Source organism: Homo sapiens, chromosome 15, assembly GCF_000001405.40.
Source record: "Homo sapiens chromosome 15, GRCh38.p14 Primary Assembly".
Classification (NCBI taxonomy): domain Eukaryota; kingdom Metazoa; phylum Chordata; class Mammalia; order Primates; family Hominidae; genus Homo; species Homo sapiens.
Window position 1 is genome coordinate 74,826,153 of NC_000015.10, and position 20,099 is coordinate 74,846,251.

At 57.4% G+C, this 20,099-nt stretch overlaps 3 protein-coding genes, 1 long non-coding RNA gene and 1 other non-coding gene across 21 annotated transcripts in view, besides 7 other annotated features; 2 read left to right on the forward strand and 3 right to left on the reverse strand.

Moving 5' to 3' along the window:
* Positions 457-664: a silencer, noted in NCBI's record as "fragment chr15:75118950-75119157 (GRCh37/hg19 assembly coordinates)". NCBI's record gives its function as "represses an EF-1alpha promoter that drives an FKBP-Casp9 reporter gene in an ReSE screen in phorbol 12-myristate 13-acetate-treated (for megakaryocytic differentiation) K562 erythroleukemia cells {active_cell/tissue: K562(+PMA)}" and the evidence as "EXISTENCE:reporter gene assay evidence [ECO:0000049][PMID:32094911]".
* CPLX3 (complexin 3) lies at positions 475-5,650 on the forward strand. The gene is made up of 3 exons (NM_001030005.3): positions 475-715; positions 1,882-1,969; positions 3,978-5,650. Exons 1-3 carry the CDS (start codon positions 552-554, stop codon positions 4,200-4,202), a joined length of 477 nt encoding a protein of 158 aa, NP_001025176.1. The 5' UTR covers positions 475-551; the 3' UTR covers positions 4,203-5,650.
* LOC105370897 (uncharacterized) lies at positions 1,980-3,549 on the forward strand. Its single transcript, XR_932478.1, has 2 exons — positions 1,980-2,736; positions 2,966-3,549. It is a non-coding gene; the product is annotated as an uncharacterized LOC105370897 (long non-coding RNA).
* Positions 9,645-9,714: an enhancer, noted in NCBI's record as "active region_9808". NCBI's record gives its function as "activates an Ori minimal core promoter by ATAC-STARR-seq in GM12878 lymphoblastoid cells {active_cell/tissue: GM12878}" and the evidence as "EXISTENCE:reporter gene assay evidence [ECO:0000049][PMID:35858748]".
* Positions 9,966-17,004, reverse strand: ULK3 (unc-51 like kinase 3). 16 transcript variants are annotated; one of them, XM_017022068.2, is made up of 17 exons: positions 16,852-17,004; positions 16,387-16,522; positions 16,128-16,268; positions 15,923-16,043; positions 15,253-15,357; positions 14,346-14,489; positions 14,082-14,164; positions 13,406-13,561; positions 13,116-13,221; positions 12,858-12,898; positions 12,491-12,593; positions 12,288-12,352; positions 12,114-12,192; positions 12,000-12,040; positions 11,605-11,646; positions 11,217-11,283; positions 9,966-11,092 (listed from the first exon to the last, which is right to left on the reverse strand). In XM_017022068.2, the coding sequence occupies exons 2-17, from the start codon at positions 16,519-16,521 to the stop codon at positions 11,076-11,078; spliced, it is 1,446 nt and encodes a 481-aa protein (XP_016877557.1). In that variant the 5' UTR covers position 16,522; positions 16,852-17,004; the 3' UTR covers positions 9,966-11,075. The 16 variants fall into 16 exon arrangements, 12 of the variants coding, with proteins under 12 accessions (XP_016877557.1, XP_005254346.1, NP_001271294.1 ...); XM_005254289.3 differs by having other exon boundaries at positions 11,599-11,646; NM_001284365.3 differs by lacking the exon at positions 16,387-16,522 and having other exon boundaries at positions 11,599-11,646; positions 15,923-15,966.
* Positions 10,314-10,890: a silencer, noted in NCBI's record as "fragment chr15:75128807-75129383 (GRCh37/hg19 assembly coordinates)". NCBI's record gives its function as "represses an EF-1alpha promoter that drives an FKBP-Casp9 reporter gene in an ReSE screen in HepG2 liver carcinoma cells and K562 erythroleukemia cells {active_cell/tissue: HepG2 | K562}" and the evidence as "EXISTENCE:reporter gene assay evidence [ECO:0000049][PMID:32094911]".
* Positions 13,374-13,521: a silencer, noted in NCBI's record as "fragment chr15:75131867-75132014 (GRCh37/hg19 assembly coordinates)". NCBI's record gives its function as "represses an EF-1alpha promoter that drives an FKBP-Casp9 reporter gene in an ReSE screen in K562 erythroleukemia cells {active_cell/tissue: K562}" and the evidence as "EXISTENCE:reporter gene assay evidence [ECO:0000049][PMID:32094911]".
* On the reverse strand, positions 14,490-14,555 carry MIR6882 (microRNA 6882). Its single transcript, NR_106942.1, has one exon. It is a non-coding gene; the product is annotated as a microRNA 6882 (primary transcript).
* Positions 15,998-16,523: an enhancer, noted in NCBI's record as "H3K4me1 hESC enhancer chr15:75134491-75135016 (GRCh37/hg19 assembly coordinates)". NCBI's record gives its function as "activates a minimal SCP1, AML or CMV promoter by ChIP-STARR-seq in naive H9 embryonic stem cells {active_cell/tissue: H9 hESC(naive)}" and the evidence as "EXISTENCE:reporter gene assay evidence [ECO:0000049][PMID:30033119]".
* Positions 16,592-17,503: an enhancer, noted in NCBI's record as "H3K27ac-H3K4me1 hESC enhancer chr15:75135085-75135996 (GRCh37/hg19 assembly coordinates)". NCBI's record gives its function as "activates a minimal SCP1, AML or CMV promoter by ChIP-STARR-seq in naive H9 embryonic stem cells {active_cell/tissue: H9 hESC(naive)}" and the evidence as "EXISTENCE:reporter gene assay evidence [ECO:0000049][PMID:30033119]".
* Positions 16,766-17,485: a silencer, noted in NCBI's record as "silent region_6659". NCBI's record gives its function as "represses an Ori minimal core promoter by ATAC-STARR-seq in GM12878 lymphoblastoid cells {active_cell/tissue: GM12878}" and the evidence as "EXISTENCE:reporter gene assay evidence [ECO:0000049][PMID:35858748]".
* The window catches only part of SCAMP2 (secretory carrier membrane protein 2), a 29,636-nt gene continuing 27,114 nt past the window's right edge, over positions 17,578-20,099 (reverse strand). For both annotated transcript variants that reach the window (NM_005697.5, NM_001320778.2), the window contains 2 exons: positions 19,321-19,441; positions 17,578-19,065 (listed from right to left, as the gene is read on the reverse strand). In NM_005697.5, coding sequence (NP_005688.2) covers positions 18,931-19,065; positions 19,321-19,441 — 256 coding nt within the window. In that variant the 3' untranslated portion in view covers positions 17,578-18,930. The remainder of the gene's footprint in view (positions 19,066-19,320; positions 19,442-20,099) is intronic.

A 20,099-nucleotide genomic window follows, 5' to 3' on the forward strand; every position in this document is an offset into this window, starting at 1 on the left:
GTCTCCCTCCCTTTTCCAGCGTCAAGCTCTCTGGGCAGCTGCTGGGTTCAGTGACTTGGGTGGGTGGGGAGAATGGGGGGCACCCAAGGCTGGGTTTTTACCCCTTGCTGCTACCTGGATCTCCCAGCTGAAATCCTAGTTATTAGTGGCCCAGGAGAGGAGAAAGTTGGAAGAGGCTATGGAACAGGGTTCCGGGAGTGTATGAGCTCAACCCCTCTCCCGGGAGAGCGACCCCACCACCGCAGGCCCTAATCCTCTGTCAGCAGTGCCCAGCGGAGCTCGGCGTTGAAGGAGGCACGTGGGGGAGGCGGGAGTGGGGAGCGGGCACGTGGTCCAGCCTTCTCAGCCCCGTGCTGCCCCCCGCCCCCAGTGAGGAGGGGTTTGGGGAGGTGGGGGCGGGCCCGGGCGGGGGCGGGCGGCGGGCGGTGCCAAGCGTGGGGCGCGGGCCCGCGGCGGGAGCTGTCCGCGAAACCTAGTGCTGAAGTAGGCGCGGACGTGCCCGGTGCCTGGCGCGTGGTAGCAGGCGCCCGGTGCCCCGGCCGGCGAAGACCATGGCGTTCATGGTGAAGACCATGGTGGGCGGCCAGCTGAAGAACCTCACTGGGAGCCTGGGAGGCGGCGAGGATAAGGGAGATGGGGACAAGTCGGCAGCCGAAGCTCAGGGCATGAGCCGGGAGGAGTACGAGGAGTATCAGAAGCAACTCGTGGAAGAGAAGTGAGTGGGATCCCTTCCTGGCTCCAACGACCTCCCCTCCCCACCCCCACAGCTGCTCAGTCCATCCCCGGGCCAGCCTCAGGTCCCAATCCCTTCTCCCCTACTTTCCTAGACACGGTAAGAGACCGGGAGGTGTCCTCTACACTGCCCCCAGACCCATCCTATCTGACACCCAAAACCCCGCTCCAGCATCATGCTCCGGCCAAGGGGGAGTGGGGGGAGGGGCGACCGGACGAGGGACCGACCGGAGCCTGGGACGAGGAAGGGGGTGCACGTGCGTTTCTGACGAAACGATAATCCCTTAATCCGATCTGGTCCCAGCCGCCTATGTCTTCCAACTGGGGCTCCTCTGAACTTGAGGCTCTGAAAAAAGTGGTGCAGCCGCTCAGAGTCGCGGAGACAGACCCTGAGATGGGGGCACTCACAAACATTGAGCACTTGTGTGCCCGCAGTGCTGGGACAGAGTTTGGGGCTGGACTCTGCTGCTAGGCTACTTGGGTTCAGAGCCTGGCTTTGCCTATTAGCTGGATAACTTTAGGCAAGTTACTTAACCTTTCTGTGCCTCTGTTTCCTTTTCTGGAAAGTGGGGATGGTAATCATAATACATGCCTTGTATATTTATGAAGATTAAATGCCAATGCATGTAAACTGTTTAGCACAGCACCTGGCACATGATAAAGTCTCATAAATGATAGCTATTATTTCGCTCAATCCTGATAACAGTTTTGTGAGTTGCAAAATTTTATCCCCATTTTACAGAAGAGGAAGGTAAGTGACTTACCTAAGGATATACCTAAAATGGTAGTGGAGCTGGGATGTGAACCCAAGTTTGGCCTGAATACTTTTCCCCACATGACATAGCTTGTCAGTGAGGGAACAGCAGACCAAGTTGGAGGCCATGAGGGACAAATAATTAGGATCTGCAGAGAGAGCCAGACAGACTGCCACCCTGGTTCCCTAGTTCCATCCAGTGGCAGAGACGACAAAGGGCACTGTGATGGGCAGAGGCAGCAGAAACCTGGATGTCCGGGTTGGAGCGCTTTTGCTACACACAGGGACCAATGCAGCAGCTGCTAGGACTCAGAGACCCCTTCTGTCCCTCCCTCGAAGACCTCAACCCCCTTCTCTCAGCCCTCGTGGTGACTCTGCCTCCGGTGACCCTGCAGGATGGAGCGGGATGCACAGTTCACACAGAGGAAGGCAGAGCGGGCCACACTGCGGAGCCACTTCCGAGACAAATACCGGCTACCCAAGGTAAGCTGGCCCCGGCTGTGAGGCACATCTGGGACCCTGAGCTCTGGGTTCTGGACTCCTTCGCCCCATTCTGGGCACCACAGCCCTCAGCTATGAGACTCACAGGGTATTTGGTTAGATCCTTCCTTCTCATTCATTTGTTCTTTTATTCATTCACTCACTCGTAGTTAAATCTGTGCCCACCAAGGGCCAGGGCTTTGTGCTGAGGGGACCCCAGTCCTCATGAGACTGACAGGTCTGTATTTCTGGAGCCAATCTAGGCCTCTTCTCTCCTCCACCCCCCATATCCCCACCAAGCCTGGGCCAGGCCTGGGCAGAGGAAGACACAGGGGAGGCAGAAATCAGTAGATTTGACTGCAGAGGTGAGTGTTCTGGGGGTTTCTGAACCTACTGAAGGGCAGAACTTACTTAAGGTGGGGGAGAGAAGCCCTGTGTGTGCCAAGTACTTGACCTTCATGTCCTCATCTAACCCCCAATAATGCTGCCAGGCAGCTATCACCCACAGCGACAAAAGATGAAACTGAGGCTAAGAGAAATGGAGGGACTTGGCTAAGATCATACAGCCAGTGAGCCATGGAGCTGGGACCAGCCCTCAAGCCGGTGAATATGAGCCTGCCTTTGCTCCAGGGCCCCAGGCTGCTTTCCAGAGTATGGAGTCTGCCCGTAGAGAGCCAAGTACCCCCTTGGCCGGCCAAGCAGCCAGAGAGTATATCTCAGGAGATCCCTGCCCCCACGCTCCCCTGGGCAGTGCACCACCAGATGGGCGTGTAAGTGTGCTGCTCCTGTTGTCTAAGGAGGGGAATGAAGCACAAATCTCTCCCAGAATATCACCCTAGTGCATCCAGAACTGTGCTGGACTCAGGGGAAAACAGCACAGGGCTATAGCGCTCCTGATTTTGATCTTCCACTTGAATTGAATGACCAAATATATGAACATCACATTCACTCATTCAACAAATATTTACTGAGTCCCCAGCTGCTTCTGACTCCCCACAGGGCACCAATCTTTTGGAAATCTGTCACGGGGAAAAACCGGTCCAGAAAGCCTGCCTCACTGCAAACTCTTCTAGGAATAAAATCATTCCTCAGATGCTTGCGCTAGGCATATAAGAGACACCTGCCATCAGCAAAGTCAGAGTTGAGCAGAAGAGCCAAGACTTGGATGCAACTGAGTAGGACATAAGGCGCCCCCCAGAAGAATAGTGAAGGGCAATGGTCATCGTAGGTGCCATGCAAAAAAACACAGATGTTGGAATCAGTGACATAGGTTTGAATCTAGCTCCCCAACATCCTGCCTGTGTGATCTTGGATAATTTAAGTTACTTAAGTTACTTAAGTTAGTTAAGTAACTTAAATTTAAAGTAAGTTACTTAAATCCTGTAAGCCTCAATTTCCTTATTTGTGAAGTGGAAATAACAATACCTACCTACCTCACAGGGTTATTGTGAGAATTAAAAGCACCCAGCTCAACGTCTGCCATGTAATAGATATAATAGATGTTTGATAAATGGTACCCATCACTATTTTTGGTTACACCCTTAAGCATAACAAGAGTCAAAACATGACTTAGCTGACTGTAACAGTGTGACTCATAGGTATTTTCATTTTGTCTTTACTCACTGTGCTGGTCCTTCAGCATCTCAGAGTGAAATAAGGTAATATAAAAAGGTCTCCATGTCCAGGCATCAAACGCTTGATCCTGGGATGTGGGGGTGGGAGCTGAGCTCACTGGAACATGGGGCTCAAGAATCTAAGGGGCCGGGCACAGTGGCTCATTCCTGTATTCCCCCGGCACTTTGGGAGGCCAAGGTGGGCATATCACTTGAGCCCAGGAGTTTGAGACCAGCGTGGGCAACATAGGGAGACCTCGTCTCTACAAAAAAAAAAAAAAAGAAAAAATAGAATCTAGGGGCCTGGAACCCAGTCCAAGCCTCCTCCCTGTCCTCTCAACTCTGGGTCCTCACAGACTTCCACTCCACCCCACCCCCTCTTCCCCTCTTCCCTTCAGAACGAGACAGATGAGAGCCAGATCCAGATGGCAGGTGGAGACGTGGAGCTGCCCCGGGAGCTGGCCAAGATGATCGAGGAGGACACAGAGGAGGAGGAGGAGAAGGCCTCAGTCCTTGGGCAGCTGGCCAGCCTTCCTGGCTTGAACCTGGGCTCACTCAAGGACAAGGCCCAGGCCACACTGGGGGATCTCAAGCAATCAGCTGAGAAGTGTCACGTCATGTGACCACTTCCCCGGGGTTACCCACTGGGCTGGGCCCCCATGAGGGCTAAGAGTGTGTCAACTTCCAGGGACCCATACTCCATTTGGGGCTTTGTTTCCCTTGCCCCATCCTAGTTCCAAGACCTTTCCCATCCATGCCCCAAGCCTATCTTCTGGTTTCTTCCTCTCCGCTGGGAGTAAAGTCCCCATCTTCACTCTACCCTTCAGGACCCTCCCCACCAGCTCAGCCTGTGGAGGCCTCCCAAGATTGTAGGAATAGGCCCATCCCTCTCTGGCCATGGCCCCAAGTTCCTGCACACAGGAGCACCCACAGAGAGACACACACAGGACACAAAACCCCTGGCACGTTCAGAGACAGAAGCCACAGATACATCCCGGCACAGACAGACACACACGAGGCCAGCTCCCTTGCGTGTCCAGCCCCTCCAGACACCACCACTCAGAAACTCTGAGAGAGAGCATGGGCAGACACCCTCAGCAGACAGGAGGCCTGAGTTCCAGTCTCCACCTTTATTGTTCTTGAAAGCCCCTGCTCTCTCTGAGCCTTATTTCATCATCTGTAAAATGGGAATGTCCTGAATGACTTCTAAGGCTCTTTCTGGCTTGAACTGTCAGAGCCAAGCCCACATCCCTCCTTGGGCAGGGCAGCAGCTGCTGCCACAGCCTCCAGCGGCTGCCACTGTGGGCTCTGGGAGCCGGAGCGATGCTGTGTGAGAGGCAGAGTGCCAAGGATGAAGCTGGCACTGAACAGTAAGCGGCTCCAGGCCTCCTCTGGGCCCAGGGCCCAGCCAATTTCTGTTCTGTTCCTGTAGAACGCTCTCTGGATTCCATAGCTGGAATCTCCTCTCTTAGCTCAGTGAAAAATAAAAATCCCAAATGGTGTGCCTACCTTCCCACTTCTTACTGGCTTCCAGGAGTCTTGGAGTTCATAGCCCCCCGAGCCTGCCTTAAAGGGGTGTCCTCCACCCCCCACCTACAGCTTCACAGGAGGGGAGAAGGCATCCAGTGCTAGGAGTAGAAGTGTCTCCAGCTCTGTTCTCTTGGGGCCCTGGGTGAAGGTGGGGTCTGGGGCTTATGAAATAGGTCTGGGCTTTGAGGAGGATGGAGCAGCCTCATTATGTGGGGAAGATGGGGCCTCTGGGGCGTCACTGAGACCACAGGTGGGGCCGGGGCTGGACCGCAGCTGTCTTGGGTGCCTGTGCCTACACCCCTCCTCACCCTAGAGACGGAAGATGTGCAAAAAGAAAGAAGGAAGGGCAACTGCATTCCAGCCCCACACTGTGATGACTTTGAGCCTGTCCTTTCCCTCCTTGAGCCTGTCTTGCTTGTCCCCTGTAAAATGAACAGTCCCCCTCTCCCCCAAATAGTAATAATACATGTTTCAAAGGGTGACCATTTATAAAGCATATGACAAACCATATCAATAAATGTAACTCATTCTTTTAAAAAAATGAAGAGCCCAGATCTCATCCCGCTCACCTGTGGCAGGGGCTGAGGGGCAGGGGTCAGGGGAGGTTTAAGAAACCAGCCAGGAAGCTCCCCAAGCAGGTCGCCCCAGGGGCCTGGGCAGGAGGAAGGTGCTATGGGGCCAACCCTAGGTGCCCCACCCCGAGGTCCAGGGCCCGGCCTGTAGGGAAGCCAGCCAAGGTTCACAGGCAGGAGCGGCTGTCTGAGGATTGGGTTTCAAGGGCAAAGTTTCCATGAGGTCTCCTTTGTAAAATAAAAACAAGGCATATACAACCTGTACAGGAGATCATGCGGGGCTGGAAGAGAGGAGACAGGGCAGGGAGAGACACAGGCCCAGCCCTGGAGTCTGCTGCTGAAGCTGTCACTCTTGGTCTCACTCTCCTGAGTGTCCCCAGGGAATGGGCCTGGGCCTCTGAGCTGCTCCTGGGCTGCCCCCAGGCCAGGGCCTCCTCCTGACCTTCTCAGAGCTGGAGGAGACCCAAGCCAGAGCCCCAAGCCGGGTAGGGGGGTCATGGGCTGCCTCCGCAGCATCAGCAGCAAGGCCCACGTCAGCACTCCGCCCTCCGGGGCCTTCTGCCTAATGGGATTCGACAGACCCCTTCCCCCTCAGTGCTTCGCAGGGCCGAGAAGGAGAGGCAGGGGTGGTGGGCAGTGGGGGCTGGGGAACTTGCACTCGCTGAACCCTGTCAAAGCAAGGCTGGTTGGAACCTGGATTAAAGGTCGGGAGAGGGGTGAGCCCCCACATTAGTTTCCCCTTCACCCTGGGAGCGGAACTCCAAGAAGCCCTGACCAGTTTGCACTATCCCTGGAATGGGGTGGAGGAGGCTGTGGGGCTCAGATAGAGATGGACAATGAGGGTAGGCTGAGGGGTCCCTGGCTCTGTTGGGCATGCCTGGCCTCCCTTCTTCCTTCCCCCTCCCCATCAGCCCTGCAATCTGGGTCTCTGTCAGTCTGCACCCCTCTCACCTGTGTGCCCTCATGCCCTGCTGCTCTGCTGGCTCAGTGCCTGTCCTGTATCTGCCCGCAGCTGGGGGCTGACTTGGCCCAACTGGAGCTCTTCTGCACCTGCCCCCCAACTCCCAAGCCCTCGAGCCCTGAATACATCAACTACTACTCTCTTCCCAAGCTGTTCCCACCCTCTCTTATTTAGACAATCCAATGTCTAACTAGGATATTTACATATTTGTCCTGTGACTGGTCCACCCACCTGGTGTGATGTGAGGGCCACAGAGTCATTTGCCACCAAAACTTCCCATTTCACCCTCTGCCTAGAACCCCGTTAGTACCCCGTAGTTAGGACTCTGATGTTTCAGGCCTGCTCCTTCCTTCCCTCCCTCCCTCCTTTTCCCCTTTCCTTTCTCCTTCATACCCTTGCAGGCAGTCTGAGCATACAGGAAATGTTAAAAGGTAGTTAAGAGAGCCCCTCCAACTTCCCCAAACCCCTTCAGCAGGAGGGAAGAGGCAGAGATGGTTGCCTGTCCCACCACCTTTCACCCTCAGGGGCTCTGGTTCCACAATGCAGATTTCAGGGAAACCCTGCCCAAGGAGCCTGCAGTCCCCTGCTCCTACCTTCTACCCACCCGGACAGCTCAGGCCCAGTTGCCAGCAGGAAGAGGGTGCCAAGAGAACAAGTGACTTTCCCAAGGCCAGCTGGTCCCCAGGAAGGAACTGGGGAGGGTGACCAGGGTTTGCAGCATGGAGGATCTCCTCTTCCCTCAACAGCCAGATGGTTCCTCCTCAGACACCGGAGGCCCCAGGCAGGCGCTAAGGACACCTGGGACATGCTTGTTAGCTGAGCCGAGCTGCTGACATTGCCTGTTGACCCAGCTGACACTCAGCCGTGAGGCTGGAGCTTCTGTCCTCTATCCCACAGACCTGAGGTGGGGCTGGGGGTGTAGTTACAGGGTCCACTGCCATGCCTCCAACCCAATGCCTGCCAGGCAGAGCTGTCCCCAGAGGCCATTTGAGGTTTGAGATCAGGGGAGCAGCAGCAGCACTGAGGCAGCCTCAGCCTCATTCAGCAGGAGCTGCGCCTGCATGTGTGCTCATGAGCGTGTGTGTGGGGCCTGCGGGGGTTTGTGAGCCTGCACACGGCTGTCTTGTGTCTGTGGGATCTGCTGTGTGTAGGTGTAGTATGAGTTCCTCTGGGGAAGCTGTCATTGGTGTGCTCCTTCCCTTGGGCCCCAGCCTCGGTGTTGGGCCATTGCCCTTTCAGGGAGGGCTGGGACAGCAACCCGGCCTCTGGGGACAAAAGCCCTTCTAGATGACCTTCCGCAGGAACAAAGGTCCTATGTCCTTTCCCACATCCCAGGTAAAGAGGGTAAAGAAGGGCCAGCTGGACACCTGGGTCCCTCTATCTGCTTCTGAGGCCCATCTGCATCTTCCAGGGCTGGCCCCGTGGGAGAAGGCTTGGGTGCTTCCCCCAGCTTGGCCCAGGGCTGGCTCTGTGCTTGGGTGACTGGGATGGAGGTAGGAGGACAGGGCAGTCCCCTGAACGTTGCTAGGAGGTAGCCATCCTGCTTTGGGCACCTACAGAGTGTTGAAAGTGAGAGGCAAAAACAACTCTGCCTCCTCTGAAGGAAAACATGACCTTTAGAAAGTGGATCTGCGCATTTCCTACAGGCCTCTGCCGTTAGAAGCAAGCCCTGCCCCCCTCGCCCCAGCCTCCGGACTGCGCTGCCTCCCTGCTTGGCAGGCGGCTTGGACACAGGACCAACCTAGAGACCATCTAGATGTTTTATTCAAGAAGGGCCCCTTCCCAGGGGCTCCTCCAGCAGCCTCAGTCCCCAGGCCTTTCGAGTACTGAATCCTCCCTGTGGGGGCCCACTGCTCTCCACACCTACCTGCCTAAGAACTTCAGGCCTCTGTTCTCAGCCAGCCAATATAGTGATCACAAATAAGCAACTGGAGTCGATGGGCCAACCCTTTCTCTATTGCCCTTCAATTCTCTCTAGTCTTCCATCTCGTCTTTCATTTCCACTCTTCCTCCCATCTTCTTTTTTTTTTTTTTTTTAAGACAGAGTCTCGCTGTCACCAGGCTGGAATGCAGTGGCCCGATCTTGGCTCACTGCAACCTCCGCCTCCCAGGTTCAAGTGATTCTCCTGCCTCAGCCTTCCGAGTAGCTGGGACTACACGCGCCCACCACCACGCCCGGCTAATTTTTATATTTTCAGTAGAGATGGGGTCTCACCATGTTGGCCAGGCTGGTCTCCATCTCCTGACCTCGTGATCCACCCGCCTTGGCCTCCCAAAGTGCTGGGATTACAGGTGTGAGCCACCGCACCCAGCCCCTCCCATCTTCTCAATTCATCCACTCAACCAGGTCCATTCATTCCCCTCCTGTTCCCTCACTTTATATATTGAGGCTTTTTTGTCTGGCCCATTTCCAGAGATAATCTGAAGTACCTTTCTCTCCTTAGATCTGAAAGTCACATTTTATTGTATTCTTACTGTATGCCATGCCCATGTGCAACATCTCATTACACATGGGGCCCTTATCCTCAACCTCATTCTATGAAGAAATAGGCTCATCGATGGATCCTAAACTTCAAGGCCAAGTAGCAGAGCCAGAATTCTAGCAGTTCCTCCTGCCCTCTGGGACACTGCTCCACACTGCCCCCCGATGGCCAGGCCAGGGGCTTCAGGGAGAATAGTTCCCAGGGTCTGTTCCCATCCAGGTATGGGAAACCCTGGGATGACTGAGCAACCCGGGGGCATGGGTAAGTCTAAGGAACTGCTCCCCTGCTGGCTGCCAGGGGATGTGCTCCCCTCCTACTCCCAACAAGTGCTGATCAGATTGACACCTGGGGTGTACGTGGGGTTGGGGGAAGGCCAGGGTACAGAGCCTGCTGGAAATGGAGACCCTGGGGGCTGGGTGTGAGCATGATACCTCAAAACATGCCCTTTCCTCCAGTCCAGCTCACTGCTCCCTCAGTGGCCCAGGGTAAGGGAGGGAAGGAAGCCAAGAGATCCTGTCTGGGGTGAGACAGTGTGCGGTGTGGAGGGCAGAGCATGGTGGAAGATTGCACTCCTGGAGCTGAGCCTTCCCAGCTCCCAGGCCTGTGCTCCTCTCCCCACCGGTCGCCTGGGTGTGGGCAGCAATGACCCTGGTCAGCCCTTCTCCTGGATCTCTGGGGGCTGAGGGCAGATGTGGCTATCATTCTCAGCATTCCCCTCCATCTCGCGACCTCTCCGGCCCTACCTCAGCTTCCGCAGCTTTTGCTGCAGTCCTTCTTGCCCCAGCCTGTGGGCAGCGGCCACCTCTCCTGTCGTTCTTAAGGCAAGAAGAGACGCGCAAATAGAGAAAATAATTTAATAGAGAAACAATGAATGATACTCTTTACACTCAGCCTCCTGCAGGGAGGACAGACAGCTCTTGCCCAAGGAAGCATTTAAGGGCAGAAGGGCTACAAATCACCAACACCCGCTGATTATTTAAAAGAAACTCTCAAATACATTCTTTTCCAGGTTAAATTCACTTTGTCCTCATAAGTGCCCATGCTGTGGGCTGTGAAGGTATCAGCCCCATTGAAGAGATGGGGAGACCCAGGCCCAGAAAGGGGAAAGAGCTTGCCCAGGGCTCCACGGCGGCAGGGCAGGCCTAGAAGTGGGTGGCCTAGAGGGCACTGGGTCAGACTGTCTCCAAGCCTCCCTCTCCCTGTCCCAGGCTCAAACTCCAGCACAAGGCCCGCGCTGTGGCTAGTGTGGGGCCCAGAGGGAACGGAGGTGGGAGAGATGAGGACCAAGGAACCCTCCTGAGTGCTCCCTAGGCCAGGGCAGGAACAAGGCTTGGGCTTCTTAAACCCCAAAAGATCCAGCTTTCATGCTTGAGGGATTAACCTAAAGTACCAAGATGGCGGGCAGGTGTGAGTTCCCAGAAAGACTGGTGGGTTCTGTGGGGCTGAGTGCATACTGTGGGGAGGGTGGTCCCTGAGGGGTGTTGGAGTGCCCCATTCCAGTGCAAAGAGGAGCTGAGTTGGAATAAGGGGTCCCGGGAAGGGCAGGCCAGGGGCACAGCTGCCTGCTGGCAGGGCGAGGGCAAGCACAGAAGTACCCTGCGGGGGCCCCTTGCCCTCTTCTCGGAGCCAAAAATGATAGAGGGCTGCATGCCCCAAAACGGACAGGCACAGGACCCAGTAACCACCGAGTAACAAAGGTCTCATGAAAGAAGTGCTGTTCTCCCAGAGTCCTGCCCTCCCCTCCAGTATACAGCACAGCCATCAAACCATCTGTGGGGTGCAGAGTAACCTGAGGGAGGCTGGGGACTCTGGGATATGGGGGTCTCAGCACTGTCCATCCAAGAAGCCTGCTCGCCAGGGCTGCAGTGGGCCACTTCATTCTTGGCGTCAGCCTGGGTTAGTGCCCCTCTGCTCCAGATGGCTCACATCTGTCCAATCATTCTTCTAGGGTCACTGAAGGGTGCAAGCTACGGGGGTGAGGGGGACAATGGGGGAGGGTCAGTCTCAGGTCTTTGGTAAGGGAGGCAGAACCCAGGGCCCCCAGCCCTCACCCCTCCTTGGATGGAGGATCGACCCCAGGGCAGGACTCACAGCTACGAACAGATTCCGACAGTCCCTCTTTGTCCAGGGTGTCAGCTTCCCAGCGAGATTCCCTCATCTGTGGGATGTGAAGGCAGCACAAGGGATGAGAGGCAGACACACGAGCCACAGCGCAGTGCCGAGCAAGTGAGAGAGTGAAGGACGGGGACACGAGCCACAGCGCAGTGCCGAGCAAGTGAGAGAGTGAAGGACGGGGACACGAGCCACAGCGCAGTGCCGAGCAAGAGAGAGAGTGAAGGGCAGATACAGGGACAGGGAGGCCTGCAGAGGAGGCGAGAGAGCAGACATACACCAGCAGGGGGGGACGACAGCCACAAGCAGAGAGCAACAGAACCCACAGACCCTAGCCCCAGCGTGGCCCCCATGTGCCCACCTTGACCTGCTCCTTCAAGTATTCAGCTCGGGCCATGAGGTTCTGAACCTGCCAAGGAAAGATATGCCCTTGGGTGTGGGGGAGAGTGGCGGGGGGTGGGGTTTCAAAGGGAACTCCTCCTCACCCCTGATGCTCTCCAGAACCCTCTGCCCCATCAGAACAACTTGCCTCCTGAGTCCCTTATCTGCTCCTTCCTCCAGGAAGCCTTCCCAGACTTTTTGCTGCTGGGTTCCCAGATCCCCCACTGCCCTGTCTGAGCACCCCAGCCCTATGGTTTGACTTCCAGACTTGGAACACCCTGACAGTGGGACATTCCAGAGGGAACCCAAAGAGGTCCCCACAGGTAAGAGCAGAGAAAGGGGAAGAGGAAGCCCCCCAACCCTCTCAAGCTCAGTGGGCACCTCAGTGTGAAGCAGCTCCCGCCTCCGGCCCGGGGGCTCCGCTGTAAAGAGAGGGTGTGTGGTGAGGACAGGGTGGCCAGAGGCCCTGTGGGGGGCATAAATGGGGGCCCTCACCTGCCAGCAACAGCAGTAGCTCCCCCAGGCTGTGCTGGTACAGGTCCAGGGCATCCTGCTCCCCGCCGGCGGCCTCCTCCTGCAGCCACAAGGACACCAGGCTGCTTAGGGTCATGGCCTGGGTATCTCCCTGCCCTGCCCCGACCCACCTGGACCCCTCCCACTGGCACAAACCTTGGCCATGGCAGCTGAAGCCACTTCCAGGGCAGCTAGGAGGCGTGGCTTGTCCCGGGCCATCTCTGAGATGAGGGGAAAGGCTCAGGGTGAGGGAAGCAACCTGCCTGTTCGCTGCAGGATGCCTCTCCCCACCCGCCTCCCCCTCAGGCTGTGGGGAGGTTTGCTGGGGGCCCTGGGGTCAGCCAGAAACCGGAGTCTACCTCTGAGCAGGTCTCGGGCAGAGGTCCCCTGCCTCAGCAGGGCCTGATTGGAAGAGGAGACGATGGCCTTGAGCTCCTCAGCCCGGGACACGTACTGCCCCACCTGTAGCAGGGAAAGGGCCTGAGGAGGGGCTGTCTCACCAGCTACCCTTGCCAGAACCCACCTCCAAGTTCTCCCTTTGCATTGTTAGTGACTGCCTCAAGCTATAAACATGTCAGGGGGCAAATGTGGCTGGCCTGACCCATTCCCAGCTCTGTGTTGCAGGAGAGGAAGTTCCAATTCTAAGAGAGCCATTCCCCAGAGGCCCCCGAGATCTCCGGGCCTTACCCCCTGCCCCCCCACTTCCTCATGGGGACTCTCACCCACCTTTGCCTTAATTGCCTCCTTCCGCTGGGCATCCACTTCATCTGCAGAAAGTGAGGTCATATGAGGAGTCTGGGCGAACCCCTCCCTGCCCCACAACGAACCCTCTGGAATCCCTCAAAACACAATATTCCAGGTTTACGCTCTGCTTTATCGCCTACAAAATTCTAGATAGAGAACTTCTGGAATCCACCTACTGCAGCCACAGATGACTCCCATCCCTGCTGCACCCACGGGCTTCAGGCATGGCCTGGGACTCACAGTGCAGGGCAGGTACAAAGAAGTCCAGAGCCTTGCAGTAGAGTGATAAGGCAGCTGCTGAATCCCCCTCCTGGTCTTTCTTCACAGCCTGCACCACCAGGGCGGTCTGGGGATGGGCAGATCAGGGGTCAGGTCCACCTCCCTACCCTCCCACACTCACCAAGATGGGAGATCAGCTCCCCTGAGCCCGCCCTCTGTCTCTGTTGGGTGAGTCACCAATTCACCACCAACGGGGGCAAGGAGACCTCCAGCCCACCCTCAGCCCACCCCAGCCCCAGCCGTCTGCTCACTGCTCGCCCCAGACTCTCCCCACTGGGCATGTGCTCCAGGTCCACCCAGGGGTGCGCAAAAAAGTCCTGGAAGGAGATGCGACGGCTGGGGTCCCGCTCCAGGAGCCGCTGCAGTAGGTCCCGGCAGTCTCGGGAGAGCAGGGGCCGCAAGGGGAGCTGCAGGGAAGGGAACGGCAGGGACAGATCACACTGGGCTCCTCCACCCCTACCCCTAGCCCAGGGGTCTGCGAGGAACCCCAGAGGTACGCGTTGGACAGGTGGGGAATCTGAGACCGAGGAGGAACAGGATGGGTCAGGATGATGGAGCCAGCGGGGAGCGAGGCCTCCATCCCTGGGCTCCCGGTGCACCCTCGCTGGAGCCCTGAGCTGAGCTAGAATCGTGTTTCTGGGTCCTTATTTCCCTCCCTGGACTATGCTCCTAGGAAGGCTGGGCCTGGCTCTGCTTTGCATTCTCCCCACAAGGGCCTGCAAAATGGGCACTGTGCTGCCAGCTGTGGGCTGACCTGAGGCCCTGGGACAGCCTGGCACCTCGACTTCCAGCCTAGAACCTGCCCCTCCACCACAAAGGCAGCCTGGAGCCCATACTCCAGTCTCTGCAGGTCAGAACGAGGTCTAAACCCTCAGGGCCCTGACTCCCTCTGCCCCCCAGTGGTCGCTAAGGCCCTGCTAGACACACCTCGATGACCCGGTTGCTACGGATCTTCTCTTCCAGCTCCGAGAACGACCTGGAGGCAAAGGGGGGCTGCCCGAAGAGGGCTTCTGTGGAAGGGAGGCAGAGCGGAGGCTGGGAGGGAATGGGTCAAGCCTGGCCTGACGCCCCTCAGCAGGGGCCCTGGGCCAGCAGTCAGTTTTCATCAGAACCCTTCAGAAGTGGCCCAGAGAGGCCTTGCCTGAGGAAACTGTAGGCCTCAGGGTGAGAAGCAGGGAAAAGAGGTCTCACCATACAGGATGACCCCCATGGACCAGAGGTCCACGCGGGCGTCATACTGCCGCTGGCACACCATCTCGGGGGCCATGTAGAGGGGGGAGCCACGGAGCACGTGCTTCTCATCCCACGGGGACATGTGTTGTGCGAAACCAAAGTCTGCAGGCAAGAGGAGAGGCAGCAGGGCTTGAATTCCAGCTGCTTCAGCTCCTGACTTGTAAAGCCTCACCCCAGGCTCCTCTCCACCCTCCAGACCCGCCAGGATCAACCCTATTTCCAAGCCTCTGCTCATCATTAGGCTGGAACACCCTCCTATATCTGCCTCTGGGGTATAAAACCTACCCATCCTTCCCAGCTCCCTTGGGCACCTTTTCCTAGGAAGCCCACCTGATCACACCAGCTACCTGCATAAGCCCCCACCCTCTCACTGTCCCCCCAGGCTTAGGTTCTATCACAGTCTCTGGCCTCCAGTGTCAATTATCCAAATCTTATCAAGGGTCACCACCTCCTACTCCCCCACCACACCCCTCCTATGTGGCCACAGATGGAGTCACAGACTTGAGCCCCAATTCTGATGACAGACCAAGTCCTGTCCCTGCCCACAGAGGGATCCCTGATGCTTGTCACACGCTGAACCCTGGCACTGTTCCCAGATTGACCCCTAAACCTGGACACACAGTGAGTCCCAACTCTGGCCACAGACTGAGCCCTAACTCCACCCATTATGCTGCTGGACTTGAGCATGGGTAGCCTGAGAAAGCTTCCACCTTTTGATGACAGGGCCCAACCCCAGACTTCACGGCCTGTCACTCTTTGAGGACTCTATAGAGGGCTCCATAAGAACCAGGGCTGCTGAGTGAGCCCAGGCAGAGGGAGGCCTCTGCACTCTCCAAACCTCATCCCTGCTGTTTCAGACACAGACCTGCCAGTTTTAGGTGGGGCTTCTCCAAGGAGCTCAGTAGAATGTTCTGTGGCTTCAGATCCAGGTGAGAGATATTCCGTTCATGCAGGAATTGCAGGGCGCTAGCTGAGGAGCAGGACCCACGAAGAGAGACAGTTCAGAGCCCATTCCCGCCTGCCTCTCGCCTCCCCGGCTCACATCTGCCTCCTCAAGCCTGCACAACCCCAGTTCCTGCCTGGCTGGTCTAATGTTTTCCATATAAGCACCAAGATCACACCACTTCTAGGAGTTTGCCACCCCACCCGAGTGCCCACCCTCCTTCCCTCTGCCCCTTCACAAGTCTCCCCACCTCTCAGAAGCTTCTCTGGATGCCCCAGCCCTTGAGATCCTGCTCTTTTCCTTGGCACAGCACTTGAGTCCTACCTACAGGACTCTGGAATGTTCTACAAGGTCCTTATATTATGTTCTATGTATGGAAGCCTGAACACCCCACAGAGGGGTTACCCCCTCATCTCTCCCACAGCGTCCTTGAGCAAGGGTTGAGTGTATGAGATAAACAGGACCATAAAATTTCAGGCTGTGCAGGAGGCAGCTGCAATGCGTGCCAAGGCTCTAAGCCTGGGGGAGGGGTGGGATGGTGGGGGGCAGAGAACAAGGGACAGAGTGTCAGGCTGGTGTCACAGGCCTTTACCTAATTGCTGCATGAAGACACGCGCCACCTTCTCAGGCAGAATCCTGCGGGTATGGATGAAGCGAGACAGGTCGCCCCCTGCGCAAAACTCCATGATGAGGTAGATATTGTCACTGTCCCACTGTGTTTAGAGGCAGAGAGGCGGCCTGAAGAGAGTGTCCCTTCTCCAGCTCCCTTTGGCAGCGGCCCCGCCCCAGGCTCACACCTGAAAGTCTTTCAGCTGCACAATGTGGGGATGTCGAATGCCCTTGAGGATCTCAATCTCCGTGAGGAGGTTCTCCACCGATGCCTTGTTCAGACTTTTCTTGGCTACACACTTTATGGCTACCACTTCACGAGTGTCCTTCTGCGAGACAGGAGATTTGGGGACTCTGCCTTGAGGGGGCCAGGACCCTTGTCTGACTGGAAAGGCTCTATCTGGTTCCCTCTGTTCCCCCACCCCGCCCCTCCCCGGGTCTACCTACTGCACACCAGCACCGGGCTTCCCAGCTTTCCCTTGTGAGGCCAGTGAGGAATGCTGATTCTGGAATCCTGGCTTCCCGACACAGCCTCAGCCTGGTCTTCTCCAACCCTCGGCTAGCTGATCCATTTCTTTGCATTCTGGAGTGCTCCCGGCAGAGGCATGTCACTCAGGGTTCTAGAACCGCCCACTCTGCCTCCCAACTGGCTCCAGTCCCAGACTCCTCCCAGCCCACCAGGTAACCTGTTTTGAGCCTGTTCTTCAGCCACTGACCCTGCAGGTGGGTGCAGGTGCGCTCTTTAAGACCTAAGCGTGGCAGTCGGCTCCAACCTCCGCCGAGGGTCAGCTGGGGCGAGGCCGGCCTCCCGCCCCTAACTATTCCCACACTGTCGCTAACCTCTCAGAGTCTCCCCGGCCGGCACCAGCCGAGCTAGCTCGGGCGGGCACGGGGCCATCGGCCGGCACCCACCTTGGCGTAGGCCTTGTACACCGTGGCGTACGTGCCGCTGCCCAGGCGCTCGGTGAGGATGAAGCCGTCCAGGCGCGGGGGACCCCAGCCGGGCCCCGCCATTCCGGCCGCCTGCGCCCGCGCGGGCGCTTCCTCGCTGCGGGCGGCGGTTCCGGCGGGTTGCGGGGCGGGCCGAGCACTGGGTGGCTCCACGCTGCCCCCAGCGCCGCCCGCCGGAAATGCAGCGCGCATCGGGGACGCGGATCCGCCCGGCTCCCGGCGCCCCTCCCCTGTCTCTGGGCCTCGCCGGGTCACGCGCCCCGCCAGTTCCTGCAGGGCCCACGTGGGGATACGGAGGCCCCGCGAGCCTAGAAGTTAACAACGGAGGACGGCCGGCGTGGTCTCCGGGGACTCCTAGCGGGCGCAGAGGCGTCTAGAGATCGCCCACGTGAGGGCGCGGGCGGCGGAGCGGGCGTGTGTGGGGGCGACGGCGTCCGGGAGGCTCCCAGGGCCCCTCCCCAGGACCCGCAGCTCTGAAAGGAGAGCTACTGGCACGAGAAGGCGCCTTTGGAAGAGGCCGCGTTGGCTTCCCAGGCCTCCCAGCTGCTTTTCACTTTTCTGAGGAAGGGCCTTGACCTATTTATTGCATCTTAACTGTCCCCGCTCTCCAATCTTAGCAGCGGCGCCCAGCCCCTAATCCTGTGGGCTGCCCCGTCCTCCCAAGTCCACCAGACATGTGGACCCGTGTTGTCTGAAAATGTTTTTATTTTTACTTAAGCACAAAAATTGAGACGTAACATATACATTTGTACATAGAGGGGAAAAAATACCAGAAAGGAGTTCATAAAACCCCAGCCGCTGCCAGTATCATTCAGTGGCTGGGGCCTGCGGCTGTCTCGGGCCCAGAGCCGGAGGCTAGTTTTGTGGGAAGGCACCCCAGTCCACACACCCACTCGGCAGCCTCGAGGGACAGGGTGCTGGTTTTAAGGGTGGACTCCTACGTGTCCCATCACAGTGACACACCCCCCAGGGTGTGAACCAGACTCCACTGGGTATTAGGGGGCCCTCCGAGAGATGGCTTATCAGTCCCTGCTGAGGGATGCGGTTCTGGACTGGCTGGCCCTGCCCTTCCTGAAAGTCTGGATGCTGCTGATGGGGAGCATGGGCGGGGCAGGTGGCATCTGAGGCAGAGACAAAGGCAGCCGTCCCTCGGTTCGGGGAGGGGGGGGGGTAGTCACAGCAAACAGGGCCAAACCAACCACACCAGGACAGGCAGACCCCACCCTCCTAGAAGACGCTGGACGCTAGGCAGGACAGCTTGGGGTCAGTGTCCTTGGTCCCTTCCAGTCCCCAAATCCCAACCAACGGCATTGTACATTCAGAAAGTCTGAAGAGAGTAAGGCTCAGCAAGGGGAGGGCTCCAGAGGGCTCAAAGTGCCATCCCCTGCAGGAGGGTGCAGGGGGATAAAGGGCTATTAATCCGTTTCTCAGGAACACGAGGCAGGGAAGAGCTTAAGGCAACCAGCCTTCTCTGGATCCGTTTATGAGGCAGAGAAGAGCTTGAGGCAACCAGCCTTCTCTGGAAGCCTGGAGACCACTGGAGTGACCTGGGGAACAGATCTGTCCACCAGAACCTGTGAGAGGCTTATTCCCAGCCCAGGCAGGAAGGACTGGGCTGTGTCTAAGAAGCCAGATTCAGGCCAGGCCTGCAGGGTGGGGGAGTCAAGGCCCAGGACCCTGGCAGAAAGCTCCAGCTGGGATGGGCCCAGGTCAGCCTGTGATCCCAACTGTGTGGGGGTGTCTGTGTGTGCACAGGACGAAGAGAACTTCAGTCCCACTGCTTCCAGAGACAAAAGAATCCTACCAAACCATCACCAGAGAAGGAAAGAGAGCTTTGTTTTTTTTTGTACATAGAGGGGGAAAAAATTCCCTGTCCCTCCCGTTCCAGGGAGAGCTGGTCGCTGAGGGAGGAGGAAGAGCCACGGCAAGAACCCTGCCAGGTCTGTGCTGGGCACAACCACCACCACATAAGGCACCCACGGAAAGTGCAGCTCAGAAGGCAGGCGAGAGAAAGGCTGAGGGGGAGAGAAGAGAGGAGGACTAATTCCCCTGGAAGGCTCCTTGGGCAGCAGATGAAGCAGCTCTGTGGAAGGTTCTGCTGCTGAAGATGCCCTGGGAAAACTCCTCCTGGGCCTGCTGGAAGCTGGCCCCTGTCCGTCGGTAGAGGGAGTGCACCTGGCGAAGAGGGGTGGGGTGAGAGAAGCCTGTCCTTTGGGCCCACCAGGAAGCCAGCCATCCAGGTTATACTCCCAAAGGGGTCACCAGAAGCCTGGCACTGCCTGACCCCCCACCCAGATCCCTGGAGAAAGGTACTGGACCTTTGGGGGCCTAGGATGCCCAACTGCAGTGGTGAAAAACATCTCGTGGCAAGGGCAGGAAACGGTTGCCTGCCTCCTCCCATTTGCTGTCAGCCCTGCCCACACCACTCACCCGCTGCAGGAGGAAGACTGAGAGCACGGCACAGAGGGTGAAGAAGCCAGCCACCACCATCATGATGACTGATATGGCCAGGGAATGATTATCCAGTGTAGACAGGGCTGCAATCCAACCGCTATAAAGGGAAGAAGAGGCCAGAGGGAGCAAAGTGGGAGTGGGCTCCAAAAGTCAGCATAAGGGGCTCTTCTCCAAGTGGCTGCTGTGTCCTGACCATCACCTTGGCATCTCCCCACAGCACAGGGAGCCCTGTGAGCCAGAAGCCCTTGGCCTGTGAGGCCAGACCTCCGTGAAGGCTGACAGGCCCACACTACCCCATTCACAAGGGGAATCTTCTGGTTATGTGAGGTCTGAAAGGGAGGATGTGGTTGCTGCCTTCACAGAGTCAGAAGTAGCACCGGGCTGGGTGCTATGGCTCTCACCTGTAATCCCAGCACTTTGGGAGGCTGAGGCAGGAGGATCGCTTGAGCCCAAGAGTTCAAGACCAACCTGGGCAACAGAGGGAGGCCCTGTCTCCATAAAAAATAAAAAAAGGCCAGGTTCGTGCCTGTAATCCCAGCACTTTGGGAGGCCAAGGAAGGCAGATCACTTGAGGTCAGGAGTTTGAGACCAGCCTGGCCAACATGGAGAAACCTTGCTCTACTAAAAATACAAAAATTAGCTGCGCGTGGTTGCACACGCCTGCAATCCCAGCTACTCGGGAGACTGAGGCAGGAGAATCACTTGAACCTGGAAGGTGCAGGCTGCAGTGAGCCGAGATCATGCCATTGTACTCC